Source organism: Homo sapiens, chromosome 20, assembly GCF_000001405.40.
Source record: "Homo sapiens chromosome 20, GRCh38.p14 Primary Assembly".
In the NCBI taxonomy this organism is placed as follows: domain Eukaryota; kingdom Metazoa; phylum Chordata; class Mammalia; order Primates; family Hominidae; genus Homo; species Homo sapiens.
In genome coordinates this window covers 52,508,198-52,531,111 of record NC_000020.11, presented here as the reverse complement: position 1 = coordinate 52,531,111, position 22,914 = coordinate 52,508,198, and the positions used below count along the sequence as shown (strand labels likewise).

The 22,914-nt window shown below is 38.1% G+C and overlaps 1 long non-coding RNA gene and 1 pseudogene across 3 annotated transcripts in view; both read right to left on the bottom strand.

Annotated features, from left to right (window-relative positions):
* The window catches only part of LOC105372666 (uncharacterized), a 483,513-nt gene that overhangs the window by 163,044 nt on the left and 297,555 nt on the right, over positions 1 to 22,914 (bottom strand). For all 3 annotated transcript variants that reach the window (XR_007067652.1, XR_001754670.2, XR_001754671.2), the window contains one exon: positions 164 to 224. This is a non-coding gene — a long non-coding RNA (uncharacterized LOC105372666). The remainder of the gene's footprint in view (positions 1 to 163; positions 225 to 22,914) is intronic.
* Positions 19,562 to 19,813, bottom strand: MRPS33P4 (mitochondrial ribosomal protein S33 pseudogene 4; annotated as a pseudogene).

Sequence of the window (22,914 nt, the reverse complement as noted above, 5' to 3'; positions counted from 1 at the left end):
CAAAATATCCGGTAACAACACACACTATGGAGGAAGCACCAGGATTTTATTTGAAAATTATTTTTTGTGTGTGTCATGGTAGTATCCTTTTCCAAAAATTGACTTTCTTTGTTATGAAAATAACAGCCACCATAAATTTACCAAGTATCTGGGCTTAGCTCACCTCAGAATGACTCTTCACTTCAGCCAATAAGAGGGACTCTGTTTACATGAAGATCTCTTTCCTGAGTGGAAAATAGACAACAAATAAAATATTTCAGGGTTAATTTAACTTTCCAAATTACATATTCATCTGAAGCACCATCCACTGCCAGGCAATAACTCACTATGCTGCCAGATTTTAAGTACTGTAGCGACAGCTTGGTGTTAAACTCCTCACATCTTAAAAGATGGCTACCCTGGGGTTTATATCAAGCCTACATAATCATATATTGAAGCTTGGCTTATTTATTTCCATGTTTCTGAAGTACTATTAATCATTTTTCTAAGATGGTTGATGTGTTACATAATTAATAAAACATAAGAGCTTAGGAAAAAAGCCCACAGAGAGAGATTTGGACATACACTGAGAAATGGTGTCACTTTTTGGTACCAATGGAACTCCCAGCTTTCCAAAGATCAAGTCTTAACTGTAGGAATATGAAAACATATTTTCTTTTTCCTTTCAGCTTTCTCCTTCCTTTCTGTGTTTGGCGAACTTAGACGCTGGTCAATGCTAATGTTTTACAGAGAAAGAAAGTGTGTGGAGGGAGGGGTGAGAAGCGGTAAATAAAATCATTAATTCATTTTCTCACCTTTTTGCCTCTGGTGATTGCTGTCCCTGTGGGTGATAGCTTGTCTGTGGTTTTGACCCAATTCTTAACACCTTTCTTATGATACTCTGCCAATTAATCTAATGGTTCATTAATTGCAAACATCTGAAATCATTACACCGTGATTGGGCACAGGCGCATCAAACCTTGCGAAGCTGTAACTGCTTAACCAGCAAATGGGCTCACTGCAAAGGAATGTCGATGTTTATAGTAGATGTAACCCAAACTCGGGTGTTCATTGACACATTGTTCCATTTGTATACAACCACCCTGGCATCTATCTGTTCAAGAGAGCATGATTTATCCAGTGCTATATCCTGCAACTGACAGGCCAAAGATTAGCGCTTAACCCAGATGAAAGTGGAAGCTGTGTGTATTCCTAAAACAAATATTTAGTGTCTGCCAAGCTCTGCTTAATATTAATTCACGATAGAGAGCAGTTAATTTAAGCTTAGTTCATGCCAAAATCTATTTGGGTTTTGTAAATCATTTTTCAGGATTACAGTGTAGAAAATCAGACAAAAAAGAGATTTCCCTAAAATTACAAAACTGCAGATCCGGTCAGGGCTTTCAGAAAATATCTAGTCCAAAGTTCTAAACAGGCAGCCCACAAATGTGAAGTCTTCCAGGAGACAGGATTTTCTTGAATAGCACAGTTTTTTAATAATTGTTTTTAATTGTTTTCAACATCTGAATTTCTGACTTTTCTTACAGATCTAGCAATACGGGGTCCAGGGTCCAGCAAGGCAACAGTCAGCTGGAACTGAGGAGAGGATGTCCCTATGGAAAGAAAGAATACATGCTCTCCATTTGGCCATAGCTCCTACCTCTCCCTAGTATTTACTCGTGCCCACTTAGACCTGCCCACTGCTCATCTGACAGATGAGGAAACTGATGTCTGGAAAGGAGGAAGGGCTATTCAAGGACATGTGTTCCGCTAGAGTGAGAGCTGGGATAAGAACCCAAATCTCCTGACTCTACCATATTTATTTATTTATTTAGCATCACTCAATGCCATTTCATATTGATATGCATATGGTTTTAGGAGGAAAAATTTTAATCCAGTGTTTAGGGGGTTTTCAAAGGGCATAGGGCATGCCTGGGTCATTAGTATTATGATCGATCACTCTTCATTACAGCACATGTACGTTATTGCTTCTATAAGAACTAAATAAGAGTGATTTTACAAAACTATAAAAATGCATTAAGACCTTCCCATCTATATGCACCTCTAATTTGCACGGGCAGTGACTTTCTGCTTTCGTTTATTGATATCCTTACCTAACCCCTGTAAATCATTAAGTACAGCTACCACTTACTGGACACCTCCTATGTTCCAAGCTTACCCATACACCTTTCTCCTAAGTACCCAAAGCAGTCCTCAAAGATCAGTTTATTGTTCTCATGTTACAGATGAAGAATTTAAGCCTCAGGAGGACTAAGCAACTAGCCCAGGGTTACACAGCTAGTTAATGACAGCTTGAATTTGAACCTGGATATGTTGGCTTCAAGTCCTTGGTCCTGCTACTGTATGCCATGCTGGCTGGCTTCTGCCGAGTTAAGCTTTTGCCCTATTGACATAATTAAAAATATTGTTTGTATATCATACATGGCTCAATGTAAGGAGGCAAAGAAATATAAGAGAGACATGCAGTTGAGAATGGGTTAAATTTTCTGATAGCATCGGTTTTAAAAATGAATTCTTTGCGTTTTTAAAATGTGTGTGGAAGCATATTTCTCAGTGTGCAACAAAAACATTTAGGCTCCCCTGTCATTTTGGTGAATTTTGTTTGCATGTTCTCTTCATGGAATACTGATGTTAATTTTTGGTTAAGTTTAATGGTACGAAGTATAAAGCAATTTGATAGAATAAGTAACCTTTCATTAAAGTTCAATACAGTACTTAAGGAAAATGGGACTGTGTGCATTAATTGATAGTTGACAGCTATTATTTCCATGAAAACCTTTTATAGTAAAATTTCTATTTGATAGATTGGAATTTATAAAATTTGCATTTCACTAAGCTGGATTCAACTGGAAGTACTGGGGATGTTTTTCTTCTTCAAACAATATTCCATCTTTACATTTTTATTAAACATTTATTAATGGATAGAATCTTAATTTAAAGAGTATGGCACAGATTTTATTTAATAACTCAGGCTTAGTAGTGCATGAACGTAAGCGTTTGCCCTGTATTTGACTTTGATAAAACATGACTATTTATGAATATATTTATCCATGGAGACTTAATTAGTACAGTTGGGTTTGGGGCAAATTGCTTAATAAAAGAATTTCATTTCATTTTATCTGTTTTTATTTTTAACTCACAATAAATCACATAAATATCACTGGGAATTTTTCTTCCAGTTGGCAGGTTAGAAGAAAGTGATATTATTTCAGATTTGTCATATTTGACTGACATTACAAAAATGTGAAATGGAATTCAAATTCTAATTCTATTCAGACTCTGCTTCATCCTACCCCTTTACAAATACTTCTTTACGAAATGCTTGAGTGACCGCTAAGATTTCATCTGGCATCTATAACCAAGATTTTAACAAATGAGCTGATGTTAACATGAAAGCTATTTTCTCCCATCAATTCTAATCAAAATATTAGCAAGATTCTCCATGGTTTTTTATAAACCACTCATGTAGAAGTTGTTCTTGCCATTTAAGAGATGGAAAGTTTAGGACCAAGAATGGTGAAGTTACTTGAAATTAAACTAATTTAAGAATGTATCAAGGTCTGAATCCAGGGACTGAGGTCTTTTTCCAAATGTAGCCACCAGATTAAAAGCCTTCCTGTCATGCTGCTCCCTCTACCTGGAAAGTTTCCTCTTCTTCCAGGTAGACCTGGCTCCATCACACTTTTTAGGATTCAGGTGATACCCTTACACACAACACCACAAGTCCTCCTCTCTATCTAAATGATGTCTCCTGTCACGCCTGCATCTTTTCATTCTTGCAGAGCATGTATCACAGGTTATGGTTGTCTAGCTATCTGAGTACTTTTTGATCATGTATCTCTCCAATTAGACTTTCCATCTCCATGAAGGCAAGGATCTTATCTAATTTGCTTACTCTGCTGCACAGTTAGTGTGTGGCATAAAGTATGAATAGGTTCTCAGTACATTGTTGAACGAATGAGTGAATGGAGACTTAAAACTCAGAGCTCAAAATGAACTTCTGCCACCACAAGTAAATCTGCTGTGAGACCAAAGACTCCTAGTTTGTATGATAAGGCACAGCTTATTCCTGTCTTCCAAAAATTGAAAGAGAGAAATTTTAGCCAGGGAGTTAACATGGTCCACTTTATGATGTGATACAAATAAAAAACTTGGTGTCTCTTTTCAGAAGTCTTATTCATTTTCCTGAGAGCCACTGATGTGATAACAGCCATGGATCCAAACCCATGGAGCCTAAAGGAGGCTGTTTTTAATCACTTCAGTGAAGAAATTTTGTTTATTGTCGCCCTCAGTGGCACTGCTACCCGAAAAGTAACTCAACAGGAATTACCGTGAAACTTAGGAGACATCGTGAAAGATATAGTAGTAGCTTATAATAATGTCATTTATTCCACAGGACAACTCAGTACTATATGGTGTCGATGTGGGAAAGCTTCCTAAGGAAGTGAGCAACTGCTATGTGTTCAGATTTAAGGGCAAAGTCACTGAAGAGCAATTCAGTTCCATGAGCTATAAATTCCTATCTTTTCAGGGAGTTTCTCTCTTCTTCTACTCCCTTTGAGTAAAATAGTTATCGGGTTCTTTTGATATTTTTCTGAAGTCAGGATTACTAATATAAGGAGATAGCATCTCACTTTATGAGCTGGAATAACAAGAACTTACTAAGACGGACCAAAAAAGAAATCTACTTTGAGTTCATGCAGTTCTTACAGATGCAACCTTGTCATTAGGCCACGGGCCAACAAACGTTGTCTGAAAAGGGCCAGATAGTAAATATTTTAGGCTCTGCAGGCTGTAGTCTCTGCCACTACCACTCAACTCTGCTCTTGCAGCATTAAAGCAACTATAGACGATGCATAAATGAATGCACATAACTGTTCTAATAAAGCTTTATTTACAAAAACAAGTGGCTAGCCCATAAGCCAGACAATGCATAAATGAATGCACATAAGTGTTTTAATGAAGCTTTATTTACAAAAACAAGTGGCTAGCCCACAAGCCAGAGTTTGCCAATGGCTGATCTAGGCTAAATTTTGGATAAAGCCCAATTTTCTAGTAGGAGCTTACAGGAGCTCATATCTGAGACTTGAACTCCCCCCAGAAATTCTCCCTTCCACTGCTTCAACCCAACTGATGGATGCCTAAAATCACCCCTTAAGGGTTTTAACTATTTTTGTCAATATATGTTAATAGGTATACATCTATGAAGGAAAAAAGCATTGTGTAGTCAAATATATTTTGGATGCTGGATCAACAACTTTAAGCATATTTATTTACTGAAGAATTTTTAGCGCCTTTAATATGTTAATATATCTTGAAAATACGGGAAGATTAAACATAAGCATTTCCTAAATGTATTTGACTCCGAAATCCTTTTGTGAGGGCATTTTGCAGGACTGTTTTCCACCAAACACACCTTTGGAAATCCTATTTTCGTATAAGGATGTCACTAGGAAGGAGTAATAAATGATGATAGCTATCAGGTATTGAGTGCTTACCACATATGATTCCATATACCTGATGTCATTTAATCCTTGCAACCACCCTATGAATTATGTCCCCTTTATAATTAGGAATATTGAAATGTAAACAGATAAAGAAATTTACTTTTGGTTATATAACTGGTAAGTGGCAGAGTCAGCTTTCAAATGTATGTGTCTGTAACTTCAAAACTCAAGCTCGTAGATTCTATTAAATCTTAGAGTCATTCACATTTTAGTCTGAAATAAGGATTTCCTAAAACCAGATAATTTTACACTAAGAAGCGTAATTAGAGATATAATACAATCCACTTACATGGAAATGAATACATTCCTCAAAAAGGAAAACCAAACCTCAGAAAGAGATCAGGACTGACCCAAGGACACTTAGTCCTCAAGCTGTAGGATCAAAGAATCAAAGAATATTACATTAATTTAGTATAATTCCCTTTCCAAAGAAGGCTTTGCTGAGATGTGCTCAATGGAGGAACAAAAAAGGTCATATCAGTCAGGACCATTTCAGTTATAAAAGGCAGAAAACCCTACTCATACTGACTTAAGCAAAGGAGAATTTAGTGACTCATGTAACTAAAAAGTACAGATGAATCTTGCTTCAGGGATCCGTTAATTCAGGAGTTAAACTATTTCACCCAGACCTAACTCTTTCTTTCTCTGTGCTCTCAGCCATGATTTCTTCCTCAAATTTCATGTAACGGTAAGATAACTATCAGCAGCCACATGGTAATATCCTCACAGGTTCAAATGCAGCAGGAAAATAAACTTCTTTCAACTCTTCTTTCAAAAATTGGGACAAATGTCCTGGGTCATTACTGAACAAAACTGTGGTCAGAGGAATAATAGACACCTAGGGTTCAAACCATGAGATAATCTTCTACATTGCCAATCGCAACCTAGCTAAGAAGCCAAAATCAGTTGAATAAAAAAAGAGAAAAGAAGTTTAAACTTCTCCGAGAATAATATCAAGGGTAAGTTGGGTGTATTAATACCTACCTTGAAGAATTGTTGTAAGGATTACACAAAAAGCAAAGTATGCCACCTGACATATGGTAGGTTCTCAATCAGTATTAGTTTTTTTTTATTCTTTACCTCCCATCAGAGCTTGAATACTAATAGAATTCTCTTGCTATCCAACTGCATTCCCACCAAAATGTTCCCAAGATGCTGCCCCTGATGTCTCTAGGGATTAGGGGATCTGACACAGATACAGACATTTTATACAACAAGAAAATCACAACAATGGGTTTGAATTGGCAACAAAATTATTCTCAAAATTACAGAATTTTCTTTCTTCATAGGACACTTTCTACACAATGGTGAAGCCTTCTGTAGTGTCAAGGTTACAACAGCTTATAAGAGACCAGAAACCAGACACTGAAGTGAAAGATCAAGCAAACTTCTACAAAAAGCTAACAGAATTACTCAGGAAGTGAAGGGAGAAGGGATGGATCCTGGAGGTGTGAGAACTCAGAACTGCCATTCTTCTACCTTTCTCCTACTTTTCTTTAATAGAATTTTTTTCTATTATTCTGTTCTAAAGAACTCAACCAAATTATTGAGTGATCCAATTAAAACCACAGCATCACTTAGCAACTGTTAGTACTTAACACTTGTCTGGCTGATACTTCTAAATGTGACTGAGGGATTACATCATGTTGATTGTTATTATCATTACTCTTTACCACCAGTGGGACAGGAACATCCACTTCCTGAAGCAAGAAAACACTTTCTGTACTTAAAAAAGTTCTCCAAAACCTACAAAATAAATTTTTTTGAAAATAGCAAGAGAAAAACACGTTACATAGAGGAACAAAGATGAGGTCAACTACTAATTTCCCATCAGAAACAATGGAGGTCAGAAGACATTGTAATGACATGTTGAAAGTACTGAAGGGTTGAGGGGATTGGCGGGGGGGAATCTGTTAACCAAGAATTTTATACCAGAAAAACTAGCTCCCCACTCCTTAGATGTAGGCTCTGCATAGTGACTTATTTCCAAAGAGTATGATACAGGGACAAAAGAAGACATTTACAGTGGAAAAACCTGACAAACACTACCTCAGCTAGGTGAGCAGGGTCAACATCATGTGGATAAATCATGATTTAAGTCATAAATTATGTTGATATCATATACCTTTGACATAATGTGAAAAGAATACTTTATCACTGTCATCTTCTTCCCAGTAACCATAACCCCAGTCTTATGAGAAAAACATCAGACAACTCCTAATATAGGGGCATCCTACAAAATACCTGACCAGTACTCCTCAAAACTTTTAGGTCATCAGGCCAGGCATGGTGGCTCACGCCTGTAATCCCAGCACTTTGGGAGGCCAAGGCAGGTGAATCATTTGAGGCCAGGAGTGCTAGACCAGCCTGGCCAACATGGTGAAACCCTGTATCTACTAAAAATACAAAAATTACCTGGGCATGGTGGCAGGTGCCTATAATCCCAGCTACTCAGGAGGCTGAGGCACGAGAATCACTTGAACCTAGGAGGCGGAGGTTGCAGTGATCTGAGAACACATCAGTGCACTCTAGCCTGGACAACAGAATGAGACTCTGTCTAATAAATAAATAAATAAAAACACAAAACTTTCAGGTCATCAAAATAGGAAAGTCTGAGAAACTGGTGCAGCCAAGAGGAGTCTGGTGGACCTAGTGACTCCTAGGCTAGCACATGATGTAATATACCATCCTGGACAGAATATTGGAACAGAAAAAAAGGGCATTAGGTAAAAACTAATGTTCTTAATAAACTGCAGACTTTAGTTAATAATAATATATCAATATTCATTTATTAATGGTAACAATTATATCATACTAATGTACAATGTTAATAAAGAGAGGAAACTAGCTACAGGGTATATGAGAACTCTGTATTATCATCTCAATTCTATAAATCTAAAACCATTCTAAAAAAGATAGAGTCTATTTTGTTAAAGTCTCAATAAATTTAAAAGAACTGAAATCATGCAAAGTATGTCCTCTGATCACAGTAGAGTTAAATTACAAATTAATAGTAACAGTACAACATGTCAAAATTTGTGAGATTCTGCTAAAACGGAACTTAGAGGGGAATTTACAGCCATCATGCTTACCTTCAAAAAGAAGAAAGGTCTAAGATCAATTATCTAAAATTTCATCATAAGAAGTGAGAACAAGAAGAAAGAAATCAAACCCTAAGAAAGTAAATAACAAAGTATGAAAGAAAACTACTTGAAAATTATACAGCTTACAAAGGACTTCTATCCAGAATATATAAACAATGCTTTGACAATAAGGCAAACAAACCAACAAAAAAATAGGTGAAACATTTTAAGAGACCCTTTGCAAAAGTGAATATATATGTATACATATGCATACCTTGTTTTATCATGCTTTATTTTATTGTACTTTGCAGATACTGCAATTTTACAAATTGAAGGTTTGTGGCAACCCTGCATCCTTGGAGCAAATCTGTTAGCACCATTTTTCCAACAGTATGTGCTCACTTTGTGTCTCTGTGTCACATTTTGGTAATGCTTGCAATATTTCAAACTTTTTATCATTATTATTTCTATTAAGATGATCTGCAATCAGTGATCTTGATGTTACTATTGTAATTGTTTTGGGTTTCCACAAACCATGTCCATATAAGGATGCAAACTTAATAAATAAATGTTGTGTGTTCTAACTAGCTCACCAACAGGCCATTCCCCCATCTTTCTCCCTCTCTTCGGGCCTCCCTACTTCTTGAGACACAACATGACATTAAGCCAATTAATCACCCACAATGGTCTCTAAGTGTTCAAGTGAAAGTAAGAGTTACATGTCTCTCACTTTAAATCAAAAGCTAGAAATGATGATGCTTAGTGAGGAAGGCAAGTCGAAAGCCAAGATAGGCTGAAAGCTAGACCTCTTGTGCAAAACAGCCAAACTGTGAATACAAAGGAAAAGTTCTTGAAGGAAATTAAAAGTGCTACTCCAATGAGTCCACAAATAATAAAAAAGCAGCACAGCCTTATTGATGATATGAAGAAAGTTTTAGTTCTTTGAACAGAAGATCAGATTAGCCACCACGTTCCTTTAAGCTGCAGCCTAATCCAAATCAAGACCCTTTAACTCTCTTCAAGTCTAGGAAGGCCTAGAGAGGTGAAGCTGCAGAAGAAAAGTTGGAAGCCAGTAAAGGCTGGTTGATGAGGTTTAAAGAAAGAAATTGTCTCTATAACATACAAGTGCAAGATGAAGCAGCAAATGCTGATGTAGAAACTGCAACTGGTTATCCAGAAAATATTGCTAAGTTAATTGATGAAGGTACTTATATATAAAACAACAGATTTTCGATGAGAACAAAACAGCCTCAAAGTGAAAGAAGATGCCATAGAGGACTCTCATAGCTAGAGAGGAGAACTCAATGCCTGACTTCAAAGCTTCAAAAGCACAGGCTGGCTCTTTTGTTAGCAGTAATCCAGCTGGTGACTTGAAGTTAAAGCCAATGCTCATTTACCATTGTGAAAATCATGGAGTCCTTAAGAATTATGCTAAATCTACTCTGTCTATGATCTATAAGTGGACAAAGCCTGAATGGCAAGCCCATCTGCTTACAACATGGTTTACTGAATATTTTAAGCCCACTATTGAGACCTACTGCCAAGGAAAAAAATATTCTTTTCAAAATATTACTGCTCATTGACAATGTATCTGATCACCCAAGAGCCCTAATGAAGATGTACAAGGAAAGTAATGTTGTTTTCATGGCTGCTAACACAACATCCATTCTGTAGCTCATGGATTAATTTTGACTTTCAAGTCTTATTATTTAAGAAATATATTTTGGAAGGCTATGGTTGCTATAGTGATTTCTCTGAAGAACCTGGACAAAGTAAATTGAATAGCTGAAAATTAGAAAAGTTTATTTCAACCTTCATGGATGACTTTTAGGGGTTCAAGACCTCAGTGGGAGAAATAATTGCAGATGTGGTAACAAGAGCAAGAGAATTAGATTAGAACTGGAGCCTGAAGATGGGACTGAATTGCTGCAATCCCATGGTCAAACTTGAATGGATGAAGAGTTGCTCCTTATGGATGAACAAAAAAAGTGGTTTCTTGAAATGGAATCTGCTCCTGGTGAAAATGCTGTGAATTGTTGAAATGGCAAAAAAAGAATTTAGAATTTTACATAAACTTAGTTTATAAAGCAGCAGCATAGCCTGAGAGGATCAAGTCCAATTTTGAAAGAAGTTCTACTGTGGATAAAATGCTATAAAATGCTATCAAACAGCATTGCATGCTACAGAGAATCCTGTCATGAAAGGAAGAGTCAATTGATGCAGCAAAATTCACTGTTGTCCAATTAGTCAATAGTCATCAACATCAAGGCAAGACTCTTCATTGGCAAAAAGGTTACTACTCACTGAAGGCTCATATGATCACTAGCATTTTTAGCAATAAAGTATTTTAATTAAGTTGTGTACATTCCTTTTTTAGACATAATGCTATTGCACACTTACTTGACTATAGTATGGTGTAAACATAACCTTTATATGCACTAAGAAACCAAAAAATTTGTGTGACTTGCTTTATTGCAATATCCACTTTATTGAAGTGGACTGGAACTAAACTAACAATATCTCCAAAGTATGCCTGTGTACAAATGGCCAACAAACACATTAACAATTTTAATATAATTGGAGATAAGCGAAATGCAAATTAAAAAAACAAGAGATACTCCTATGAAGCCAGCAAATAGGTAAAATTTTAAAATAGCCAAAAATAGCAAGTGTTGGTGAGGACGGAGAGCACCTGGAGACCTCATACACAGCTAGCATAAATTTAAAATAATACAGTCACTTTGGGAAACATATTGGCAGTTTCTTAAAAAGTTAAAAATATATACACTTATAATCAAGTAATTCCATTCTAAGGGGAAATGAAAATATATGGCTATATTATTTATTACAGCCAAAAAATTAAAACACTCAAATACACATCAACTGGTGAATAGATTTAAAAAAGATGGTAGTCTCTATCAAATGTAATATCACTCAGTAATAAAAAGCAATGAACTATTCATTGATTTATGCACCTTTTTTGGAAAAAATACCTTGGCTCAGAGAATTCAAATTAAAATAAATGTTGACAGAAAGATAAGAAATATTATTGAAAATAAGCACTTACTGCAGCCACTTTTGCTTTCAAGAGCTGTAACACAATTCATCCTAAGAAATGTTCAAGTCCTCTTTTTTTAACCTTGGAAACCACCTGATAGAGTTCTTTGAATGTGAAAACTGAGGTCTTTAGGTCACAGTAGGGAAGTCAAGAGTAAAACACCGGAAGGGCTAAATACTTTTACATAAAGGGAAAAGAGGAATTTGATGACTCTTTGATGGCAACTCTAGAGGCTATGAGATGAAGAGTCTGAAGAAGAAAAGAAACAATATGATTTAAAGGGAAGGGAAATGGAAAAGGAAGCACAGGAACATACTAGGAATTTACAGAGTAGGAGTTCAGAGACAGTACAGACAGTAGGAACTTCTACGTGGTAGGAAAGGATTTTTAGAAAACACACAATAACCAGCAAACATACGAAAAAATTCTCAACATCACTACTCATCTGAGAAATGCAAATTAAAGCCACAATGAGATACCATCTCAGTCCAGTCTAAATGGCTATCGTTAAAAAGTCCACAAACAACAGATGCTGGTGAGGCTGCACAGAAAAGGAAATGCTTGTACACTGCTGATGGGAATGTAAATTAGTTCAGCCACTGTGGAAAGTACTTTGGAGATTTTTGAAAGAACTGAAAACAGTACTGCCATTCAACCCATTACTGGGTTTGTATAGTCCCAAAGGACTATAAATTGTTCCACCATAAAGACACATGCATTTGTATGTTCATTGCAGCACTATTAACAATAGCAAAGACATGAACTCAACCTAAATACTCATCAATAGTAGACTGGCTAAAGCAAATGTGGTACATATACACCATGGAATACTATGCAGCCATTAAAAAGAAACAAATCATGTCCTTTGCAGCAACATGGATGCAGCTGGAGGTCATTATTAAGCAAATTAACTTGGGAATAGAAAACTAAACACCACATGTTCTCACCTATAAGTGGGAGCTAAACTAGGGTACTCATGGATATAAAGATGGTAACAATAGACACTGGGAATTACTAGAGGGCAGAGGGATAATGGGTTGAAAAACTAACTGTTGAAAAACTATGCTCACTAACTGGGTAATGGAATCAATGGTACTCCAAACCTCACCATCATGTAATGTAGCCATGTAACAAACCTGTACATGTACCCTCTGAATCTAAAATGAAAACCGAAATTCTAAAAAAAATGTGTAGGATCAGTGATGATATATTGAAGTGCTTTCATTCACTAAGTATTAATTGAGCTCCTACTATGTGTCATGTTCTATTCTAGGCACCAAGGACAGAATAGCCAGTTAATAAAACATCAAATTACCCCAAGGATACTCTCAACAATGTAAGGTTATTTTCTGCCCTGAGTTATCACTGCTATCATTGCTCTTCACTCCATCCCAAACAGGCAACAAACTTCTACTACAAACAGCAGCATTATTTTAATAGTTCATTTGGGAAATAAAGGACAATAGATGTTGTCTAATATGAGTTAAAACAAGACCAGCAACATTGGATGACGGTCACAGGAAGGAAGAGTAATGGCTCAAAACAGATGATCTCAGACAAGCAAACTGTAGCAAAGGCTGATTCAGAAAGCCTCAGAGATACCAAGGAGATCTTCGTTGACCTCCCACAATATGAGGTGTGGCAATATGGTGACATTTGGGGCTATACACCAATGTTACAGTTCCCCTCCTTTCAGGAAAATGGTGAAATCGTGCATTCCCACCTCCTCCAAGTTCAGCATGGTCAGAAGATGTGCTTCAGCCAATGTAATGTGAGCAAAAGTAAGACATGTTACTTCCATGGTGAAAACTATAGAGGAAAATGAATAAACTGCCATGTTCTTTTGTTGCCTTGCCATAGCAACAAACCACCATCCAGGGAATAAAGACTCTGTTCACCAGCTTTCCTCAATGAGGATATTTAAAGAGCCCACCAGCTAACTTGAAATAGACATAGAGCATGAGCAAGAAATCAACCTTTGCTGTTTATAAGTCAGGACAACATGGCGGTCATTTGGTACCACAGCACAAGCTAGCTTATCTCAGCTGATACAGATAGATTCAGCTAGTCTCTGTGGATATTGTAGGAAAGCTGAAGGACCCAGGGATATCTGACATTTTTAAAGAGCTTTTTAAATAACAGAGTACTCTGAAGGAACCAGGAAGACAATGTGCTTTCAGGTGCCAGATTGGAATAGATGGGAAGATAAAAGCAGTAAATTCACCCCTAAGGATTCTGGAAGGTAAGGCAAGCATCATGACAGGTCTACTTGTCTTTTTCTGACAGGAAGAAGTATACACCTTTGTGCAGAGACAATACTTTTTATCCCCCTAGAACTAAATTCAAGCTGGATTTGTCCTCTGGGGATTTGTTTAAAGGCTGAGGAACAGAGTGAACAACATCTTCGCCACAAAATCACAGACACACTATAAAACTGGACAGTCCTTTCAGTGACCCTGTCCAGAAGGAAAAGGCATAACTTAAAATAGTGCAGCAGTGAAGGTATTTTTCTGTGAAAACTTGAGACAACATGGACCTACCATGCTTCTTTCAGATGACCTAGGTCAGAGTTCCCAGACACTCATTTGTAAAACATTTTCACATTTTCCCATGGCCACTTGCTCTCTGTTCGTTAGTTACTCACTATTTTTATTAAATTGATTGCCATGTATGGGCATCATTCAATTTATTTTAAAAGAAAAAAATGATTTGAGTAGTATGAATTGAAAAACAGTGCCATCCACCATAATAGATATAAATGTAAGATACCTATCATCATAAATACACATGAAAATAAGACAAGGTTATTCCATTTTATCTAGATATTGTAGCCTGCCAAAGTTTATATGCCTGAGGTGTGCCTGTTGTTCAAAGGAGGACTACAAAATGATAGCACCAACCTGACTCATTCTCCTTCACTAACAGATGAAAGAGAATGATAAAGTAATTTTCATACTAAAAAATTCAATGTGCTACCACTCAAATAATCTCAAGTGCTCTCTGTGGTATGTGTCCTACATTTGGGAAATAAGGATTAGAGTGGGCATGGATGTAAATTCATCTCTCAGGTCACTGACAATAGGGAGAATGATGGACCGACAAACCCAAAGGCTGCACTCTGAAATCCATCATAGTGTTCTCCAAGAGGCCACACTGCCCATAGGCAAGCTGCTCCCACCAGTGCCGAGGGCAACAGGACATGAAAGCAGGCCCACTCCTCAAAGGCATGGGGCTTCCCTGCCTGGCAACTGTGGTTCATCAACTTTGACAAACCTTCTCAGAGCAGCAGTGCAGTCTAAGAGGCTTCCACTTGACCTTCCTTCCGTCTTTCCTTCCTTTTCTTCCTTTCTCCTTCCCTTCCTCCTTCCCTCCCTCCCTCCTTCCCTTCCCTTCCTTCCACCCTCCCTCCTTCCATTCCCTTTCCTTCCTTCCTCCCTCCCTCCCTCTCTCCTTCCCTCCCTCCCTCCTTCCCTTCCTTCCTCCCTCCTTCCCTCCCTCCCTGCGTCCCTCCCTCATTCCCTTCCCTTCCCTTTCCTTTTCCTTCCTTCCTTCCTTCCTCCCTTCCCTCCTTTCTCCCTTCCTTCCTTCCCTACTTTACAAGGATCAAAATTACTCCACAGTCTGATGGCTCACCCAGCTTCTCTCTCAGATTCCTCTCCATTTTCCTTTGTAAGCATTTCCCCCAGTCCTCTTTGTGTGTGCCTAGCCCTGCTTTCACATCTGCCCCTCAGAGAACCAGACTCACATATTGACATTACCTAATGCATCTTGTGGAGACCAAATGAACAGGCAGGAAGAAGTCCCACTAAATTGTTTTGTCCAAATATCAGATGTCTCAAATAAGCATTAGATAGAGTAAATCTCAGTCTAATCTTCCCCAAAGCTTACATAGTGCAGATAGTCTATATTGCTGATTAAAATAAAAGCCACAGGATCTGTGTACTAGGATTAAGAATGGCAAAGCTAACGTTTTGTGGTTGAATTTTAAGAGCTGCATTTATTTCCTTCCCCCAAATATTAGGCAGATATCTACTTATCTTTAAAACCCCAACTCAAGCATTACCTGCTCTGAGAACTCTTCCCTGATCTGATCAGCCAGCATTGGTCCTGTCTCTGTGTCCCCACAATATCCCATTAGCATATGCCTTCCAGAAAGCACTTACCACATTGCATTGTAATGAGAGTAGAGTCATATCTTATGAGACCAGGTTGAAAAGTCAGAGCCTGGAGCAAACATTATGTAGGGGAAAAATATATTTTAAAATCTCTTTAGAAAGTCCCATGGTGCAGATGGACAGACTGTTTCTCAATGAGTCAATCACAACTAGTTTTTCTTCTTGTGTTGGAAAAATCACTATGCCATTAGTTAAGCACATTATAAAGTAGTTGGTTTGTATTTCAGGACCACATTGCATGAAAAATACAACGATGTTGGATGTTTAAATGCGAGGATGACACTCAACCACTCAACACGAGAAGATGTCCTATGAGAGGCACAGGCAACCTGAGGTTCACTGAGAAAATTCTAGCTTCCTTTCGCCTCTCACACTCCAGCTGGGGTCTGCATTTATTGAACAGAATGGCAGTGTTGGCCACTTAAATAACTCTTTCTCTCACTTTTTAAAACCTTGCATATAGTTAAATTCTCAAAAGTTAAACTCAGTATTTACTGTAACTTCTGTCTCCTTCAGTAGAGTCTACTTGACTGAAAGCTTCTAACACTTCACAGTGTCTGTACACAGCTAGTATTAAAAACATGAGTGAAGCTGGGCACAGTGGCTCATGCCTGTAATCCCAGCACTTTGGGAGGCCAACGTGGGCGGATCACTTGAGGCCAGGAGTTGGAGACCAGCCTGGCCAACATGGTGAAACCCCGTCTCTACCAAAAATACAAAAATTGGCTGAACATTGTGGCACACAACTATAATCCCAGCTACTCAGGAGGCTGAGGCAGAAGAATCACTTGAACATGGGAGGCGGAGACTGCAGTGAGTCGAGGTTGTGCCATGGCACTCAAGCCTGGATGACAAGCGAGACTCTGTCTCAAAAAAAAAAAAAAAAAAATATATATATATATATATACACACACACACACACACACACACACACATATGTATATGTATATATGGGTGTGTATACATATGTATATATGTATATATATATATATGAGTGAAGAAGTGAGGGAGAAAGAGAGGGAAAGAGAAATAGAAGCAAAAAAAATGGACACCAAACAAATTCATTCCTGGAAACTGTCTGGGGTTGAATTTCCTCAGGAGCAGACCCCAAGACAAGGATTTGAATGAAAGGTGATCCCAGGAATCATATTGAAAGGAGTAAGGAAGGGAGACAGGGGACAAAGGATGGAACACTTCCCTACAGGGCACATAGATAGGAGCAAGTGACTGCTGTTGGCAGCTGGGATTGAATCCTACAGAGGACTCTGGGGGCAGTACAGAACACAACTCCAAAGCCTCCTATATACGGGAAAGTAAGCTGAAATATTTATCCGCCAACCCCACTCACACGCAAAGGCCAACATTCTTATGGCAAGAGAAAGCCCTGCTGCTGAGAGTCACAGCTTTCCAGTAAGAAGCCATAGGCATGTTATCAGAAGTGTGAGATTGGGGGAATGTGGGTAGAACACAGACATCCATTGCCACAGAAGGAAGGATAGAGAATCGGAACATACTGGGATTCTGATTGTTTTCTTTGTAAAATAATTTTTTTAATGATTACATTTAACAGTGAGCATAAACTGTCACCTAAGTCTTCTTCATGAGCCACCTCTTATAATCTTTGGTTTTAAAGCCATTTTTGAAATTTAAAAAATATATTTGTAACATACTAATTTCACCCATATTTTAGATACATAAATATACATACTAAATAAAAAAATCTATATAATGCTTAATATATGATGTCTATATAATGTTTTACATATTTCCAGCAACTAGTTGCACAGTATTGTTGACCTTTAGCATCATATTTACAGTTAAATGTTTATACTAACCAGAATTTTTTATTAAAGCAAATTAAAATTTTGCAGTCTTGAAAAGAATGCTCCCTCCTTATCCACTAAAAAGTTATCATGATGAAATATTTGTTAAACTAAAGGTAAAAATTAAAGATCACAAGATCATGAGGAAGCAGGCTTTACTTTAAATTTTCACATACATGCCAACACTTCACTGTTATAAATAGAGAAGCTAGCAGAGAAGTTATATAACTCTGATTCAATGCCCTGGATTTGGGCAGCCTATTCTGAAATTGTAAAAACCAAAACGGAGATTCTTTTTCTACAACCAATGGAAAATGAATGTAGACATTTATGACTATGTTACATTTTTGCCCATGAGTATTTCTAGCCTGTTCATTGTCCCAAGCCCCAAATAAATATTTTGCCTACAAGATATTATGTAGATTGTTCATTGGAATACTAATTCCTCTCATTAAAATCCGAGTTGATGAGGGTCCAATGTGTCGCAAGGTTCAAAAAGGTACACTTTCCTTTAAGCAAAGGCTATGCGTAAATCCCAGATCTCTTTATTCGGCTGCTGGGAAGGGAATGGTGAGCTCACTGTCTCTGATCTATGCCCCGACCTTCGGCAGCCCTCTGTGACTCATTCCTTCATTCTCTGCCCTTGAGCTTCAGACCCCTGCCCTGAACTCTCACCGCCGCCATATGGACCCCTCCTTAAATAAATAATACCCATTTTTTTAAAATCCCAGAAGCTTTTGTTACTGTAAGGAATCTTATGGTGCTTTTCGTGGTAAAGCGTAGAATTGCCTCTATTGTGACGACTCTACAGAAACAGGATAGACTTGACCCAAAATGTGGTTCAGATGTCAAGACTCATGACACCACACAGAGACAAAGAGGGTGCGTACAAGCTTTGTGACTCACATAATAAGGCTTTCTGGAGAGAGCAGAGCAGACTTTCAAGCACATCCAAAATTTCTTGACAGAGCAGGGAAAGGACACTGACTTGGGGCTTTGATGGTGGTTAAGGGGTGGGCCCACATTAGGGTTCCCGTGATGCCTGGTTTAAACTTCCCACCGGCACCAAAGGAAGGATTGTCCGGGATTTCTTAACAGTTTCCCCAGATGTGGAACAGACAGGGAGGAAGGATGAATGAGGCCTAAAACCTGTCCATAAACATCAAACAACGGAGTCTGACTCTTTTTTAATGTATGCATTTTATTAGATAATTAGGTTAACTTCAGATTTGGCCTTCAAAACCAAGGCCAAAATAATTGTGCAGAATTAAAATATATTCAAGAATCCAGTCACAATTTAACTAGATCAGGCTTCAAAATGGAGATGATTTTGTTCCTTCAAATAACCTTCAGTTAGGAAGATCACATTCCTCCAATATGTGGAAAGGCAATAAATACTCTTTCTTCTCTCAGTCACTGAGGAATGCATTTTTTTTCTTTGTGTTCATTTATTTATTTATTTACAGACAGAGTCTTGCTCTATCACCCAGGCTGGACTGCAGTGGCTCCATCATGGCTTACTGCAGCCTCAACTTCCTGGGCTCAAGTGATCCTCCTACCTCAGCCTCCCAAGTAGCTTGGACTACAGGTGCATACCACCATGCCAACTATTTTTAATTTTCATGGAAACAGGTCTTGCCATGTTGCCCTGACTAGTCTGGAACTACTGGGCTCAAGCAATCCTTCCACCTTGGCCTCCCAAAGTGCTGGGATTCCAGGCATGAGCCACTCCTTCAGCCAACATTTTCTCCCTTAATGAGCCTAAAGTATTAGCAGGCATAGGGAAGGTCCTCTGAACAGCAGGGCACTTCCAAGGTGAGCCATGGAGATATGGGCAAGGCAGCAACTACTTACCTTGTCACTTGTAGGAGTTCTTTTGAGAAATCTCTATTCAGATCTTTTTTGCTGTTTTTCTTCCCTTCTCCTTTCCTTGGTTTCCCTTTTCCATGACACTTCTTTAGACCCCTTTACTCATCCTTAAAATCCTAATGCTCATCTCTGTAGAAACCAAGAAAAAACGACATCCCCAGGAGCACGAAATAAGTGCTGTGATTTGGATGCCAGTCACATGTCTCCTTCCTCTTGGCCAAAGGCTGTTCACTAAATAATCACCAGTTTCATGGATTTGGAATCAATAGGCCTGGCAACTTCACCAGACTGCTGTCCCCTCAACAAAGTCATGTGCAAGGAATATTCTGGAAATGGAGAAATGTCTCTTTTATCTTTGTTTTTAAATGTTTTATTTCCTTAGGTTTTGGGGGAACAGGTGATATTTGGTTAAATGAGTAAGTTCTTGAGTGGTGATTTGTGAGATTTTGGTGCACCCATCTCCTGAACAGTATACACTGAACTCAATTTGTATTCTTTTATCCCTCACCCCCTTCCCACCCTTTCCACCTGAGTCCCCAAAGTCCACTGTGTCATTCTTATGTCTTTGCATCATCATAGCTTAGCTCCCACTTATGAGTGAGAAGATAAGATGTCTGGTTTCCCATTCCTGAGTTACTTCACTTAGAATAATAGTCTCCAATTCTATCCAGGTTGCTGTGAATGCTATTCATTCATTCCTTTTTATGGCTCAGTAGCATTGCATCATATATATATATGTAATCACAGTTTCTTTATCCACTCGTTGATTGATGGGCATTTGTGTTGTTGATTCCAGGAAGTGGAGGCATGTCTTGAGCAGTATCCTTAGGATTTTTGGGGACCCTCATATGCTTTCCTACAGAATCTTTCCATTTTATCTGGACCTGATCTTCCTCACCCATGTGTCCCTGTCTCACTTCTAGAGTCAGACTCTTTATTACAGCTTCCCCATTACAGTCAAAATTCATATATTGACATAATAATCATCGTAGGTAATAAAACTTATGGTTATTACGGTATCTGCTACACACCAGATATGGCACCAACTATTTACATGCATCGTTTCATTGAATTCTCACCACAATCCTGAGAGCATCTTTGTTTGGGTTCTCCCCAAAGGAGAAACTTGAAGGATTTGAAAAGAAGCTCTTTATTTGGGAATGTAGGGCAGGAACATAGTGAAGGATTGGGAAATTGACTCAGGATGGGAGGAAAGCCAATAGAGGGTGTGTAACAAGCTAGTTACCCCTGGGGATGTCTGGAACTCACTCCAACGGAAGACCTTCTGGGAGACTGAGTGGAACATAGAATCATTCCCTGGGGGTGTGGGGGTGGTGAGGAGGCTGGGACGTTTATCTACCAGCTCCTCTTATCATTTGCAGATCACTCCTGGGGGTATCACCCCCAGCACTGCCAACTTGCCCACGTGCAGGTTGAGCTGCCTCTTACAGTCAGAGAAAGCCTTCAAGGAGGGAGACATTGGTGCTTGAAGTAAGAAGCTATTAGCAGGTATAGGGAATGTCCTCTGATCAGCAGGGCACTTCCAAGGTGAGCCACGGAGATACGGGCAAGGCGACTACCTGCCTGCAGACAGCAGCTCCTATTGTTCCCATTTTATGGATAAGAACATGAAAGCTCAGAGAGAGTAAATAATGTTTTCAGTGATCACACATGTAATAATTAAAGAGCTAGAACTAAAACACAGGTCACTTGACTCCTGAGTTGCATTCTCTTTTTTTTTTTAATTTTTAACTTTTGTGGGTACATAGTAGGTGTATATACTTATGGAGTGCATGAGATATTTTGATACAGGCATAGAATGCATGACAATCACATCAGGGTAAATGGGGTATTCATAACCTCAAGCATTTATTGTTTCTGTATGTTACAAATAATCCCACTACACTCTTTTAAAGTGTACAATAAATTATTATTAACTGTAGTCCCCCTGCTGTGCTATCAAATACTAGATTTTACTCATTCTAACTATATTTTTTGACTCATTAACTACCTCCCACCCTTCCCAGTCTGTGGTAACCATTTCTATTCCCTATCTCATTAGTTCAATTCCTTGAACTTTTTTATCTCCCACAAATAAGTGAAAACATGCTAAGTCTGTCTTTCTATACCTGGCTTATTTCACTTAACATAATGACATCTAGTTCCATCTATGTTGTTGCAATTGACAGGATTTCATTTTTTTATGGATGAATAGTATTCCATTGTGTACCACAATTTTCTTTATCCATTCATCTGCTGATGGACACTTGGGTTGCTTCCAAAGCTTAGCTATTGTGAATAGTGTTGCAATAAACATGAGAGTGCAGATATGTATCTCTTCAATATACTGATTTCTTTTCTTTTGGGTATAAACCCAGCAGTGGAATTGCAGAATCATGTGGTAGTTCTATTTTTAGTTTTTTGAGGAACCTCCATACTGTTCTCCATAGTGGTTGTACTAATTTACATTCCCACCAACTGTGTGTGAGGGTTCCCTCTCCTCTGCATCCTTGCCAGCGTTTGTTATTGCCTGTCTTTTGGATAAAAGCCATTTTTACTGGGGTGAGATGATATCTCATTGTGGTTTTAATTTTCATTTCTCTGATGATCAAGGATATTGAGCACCTTTTCATATACCTGTTTATCCTTTGTATGACTTCTTTTGAGAAATCTCTATTCAGACCTTTTACTCATTTTTAAATCAGGTCGTTGGATTTTTTCCAACAGAGTTGTTTGAGCTATTTATGTATTCTGGTTATTAATCCCTCGTCAGATGGGTAGTTTGCAAATATTTTCTTCCATTCTGTGGGTTGCCTTTTCACTTTGTTGATGATTTCCTTTGCTGTGCAGAAGCTTTTTAACTTGATGTTATCCCATTTGTCTATTTTTGCTTTGGTTGTCTGTGCTTGTGGGGTATTACTCAAGAAATCTTTGCCCAGTCCAACATCCTGGAGAGTTTCCTCAATGTTTTCTTTAAGTAGTTTCATAGTTTGAGGTTTTAGATTTAAGTCTTTAATTCATTTTATTTGGTTTTTGTATATGGCAAGAGATAGGGGTATAGTTTCATTCTGCTGCATATGGATATCCAGTTTTCACAGCACCACTTATTGAAGAGACTGTCCTCACCCCAGTGTATATTCTTGGCACCTCTGTCAAAAATGAGTTCACTGAAGACGCATGGATTTATTTCTGGGTTTTCTATTCTGTTCTATTGGTCTATGTGTCTTTATGTCAGTACCATGCTGCTTTTGTTACTATAGCTCCATAGGATAACTGGAAGTCAGGTAATGTGATTACTTCAGTTTTGTTCTTTTTTTCTCAGGATATATTTGACTATTATGGGTCTTTTGTAGTTCTCAATAAATTTTAGGATTTTTTTTTCTATTTCTGTGAAGAAAG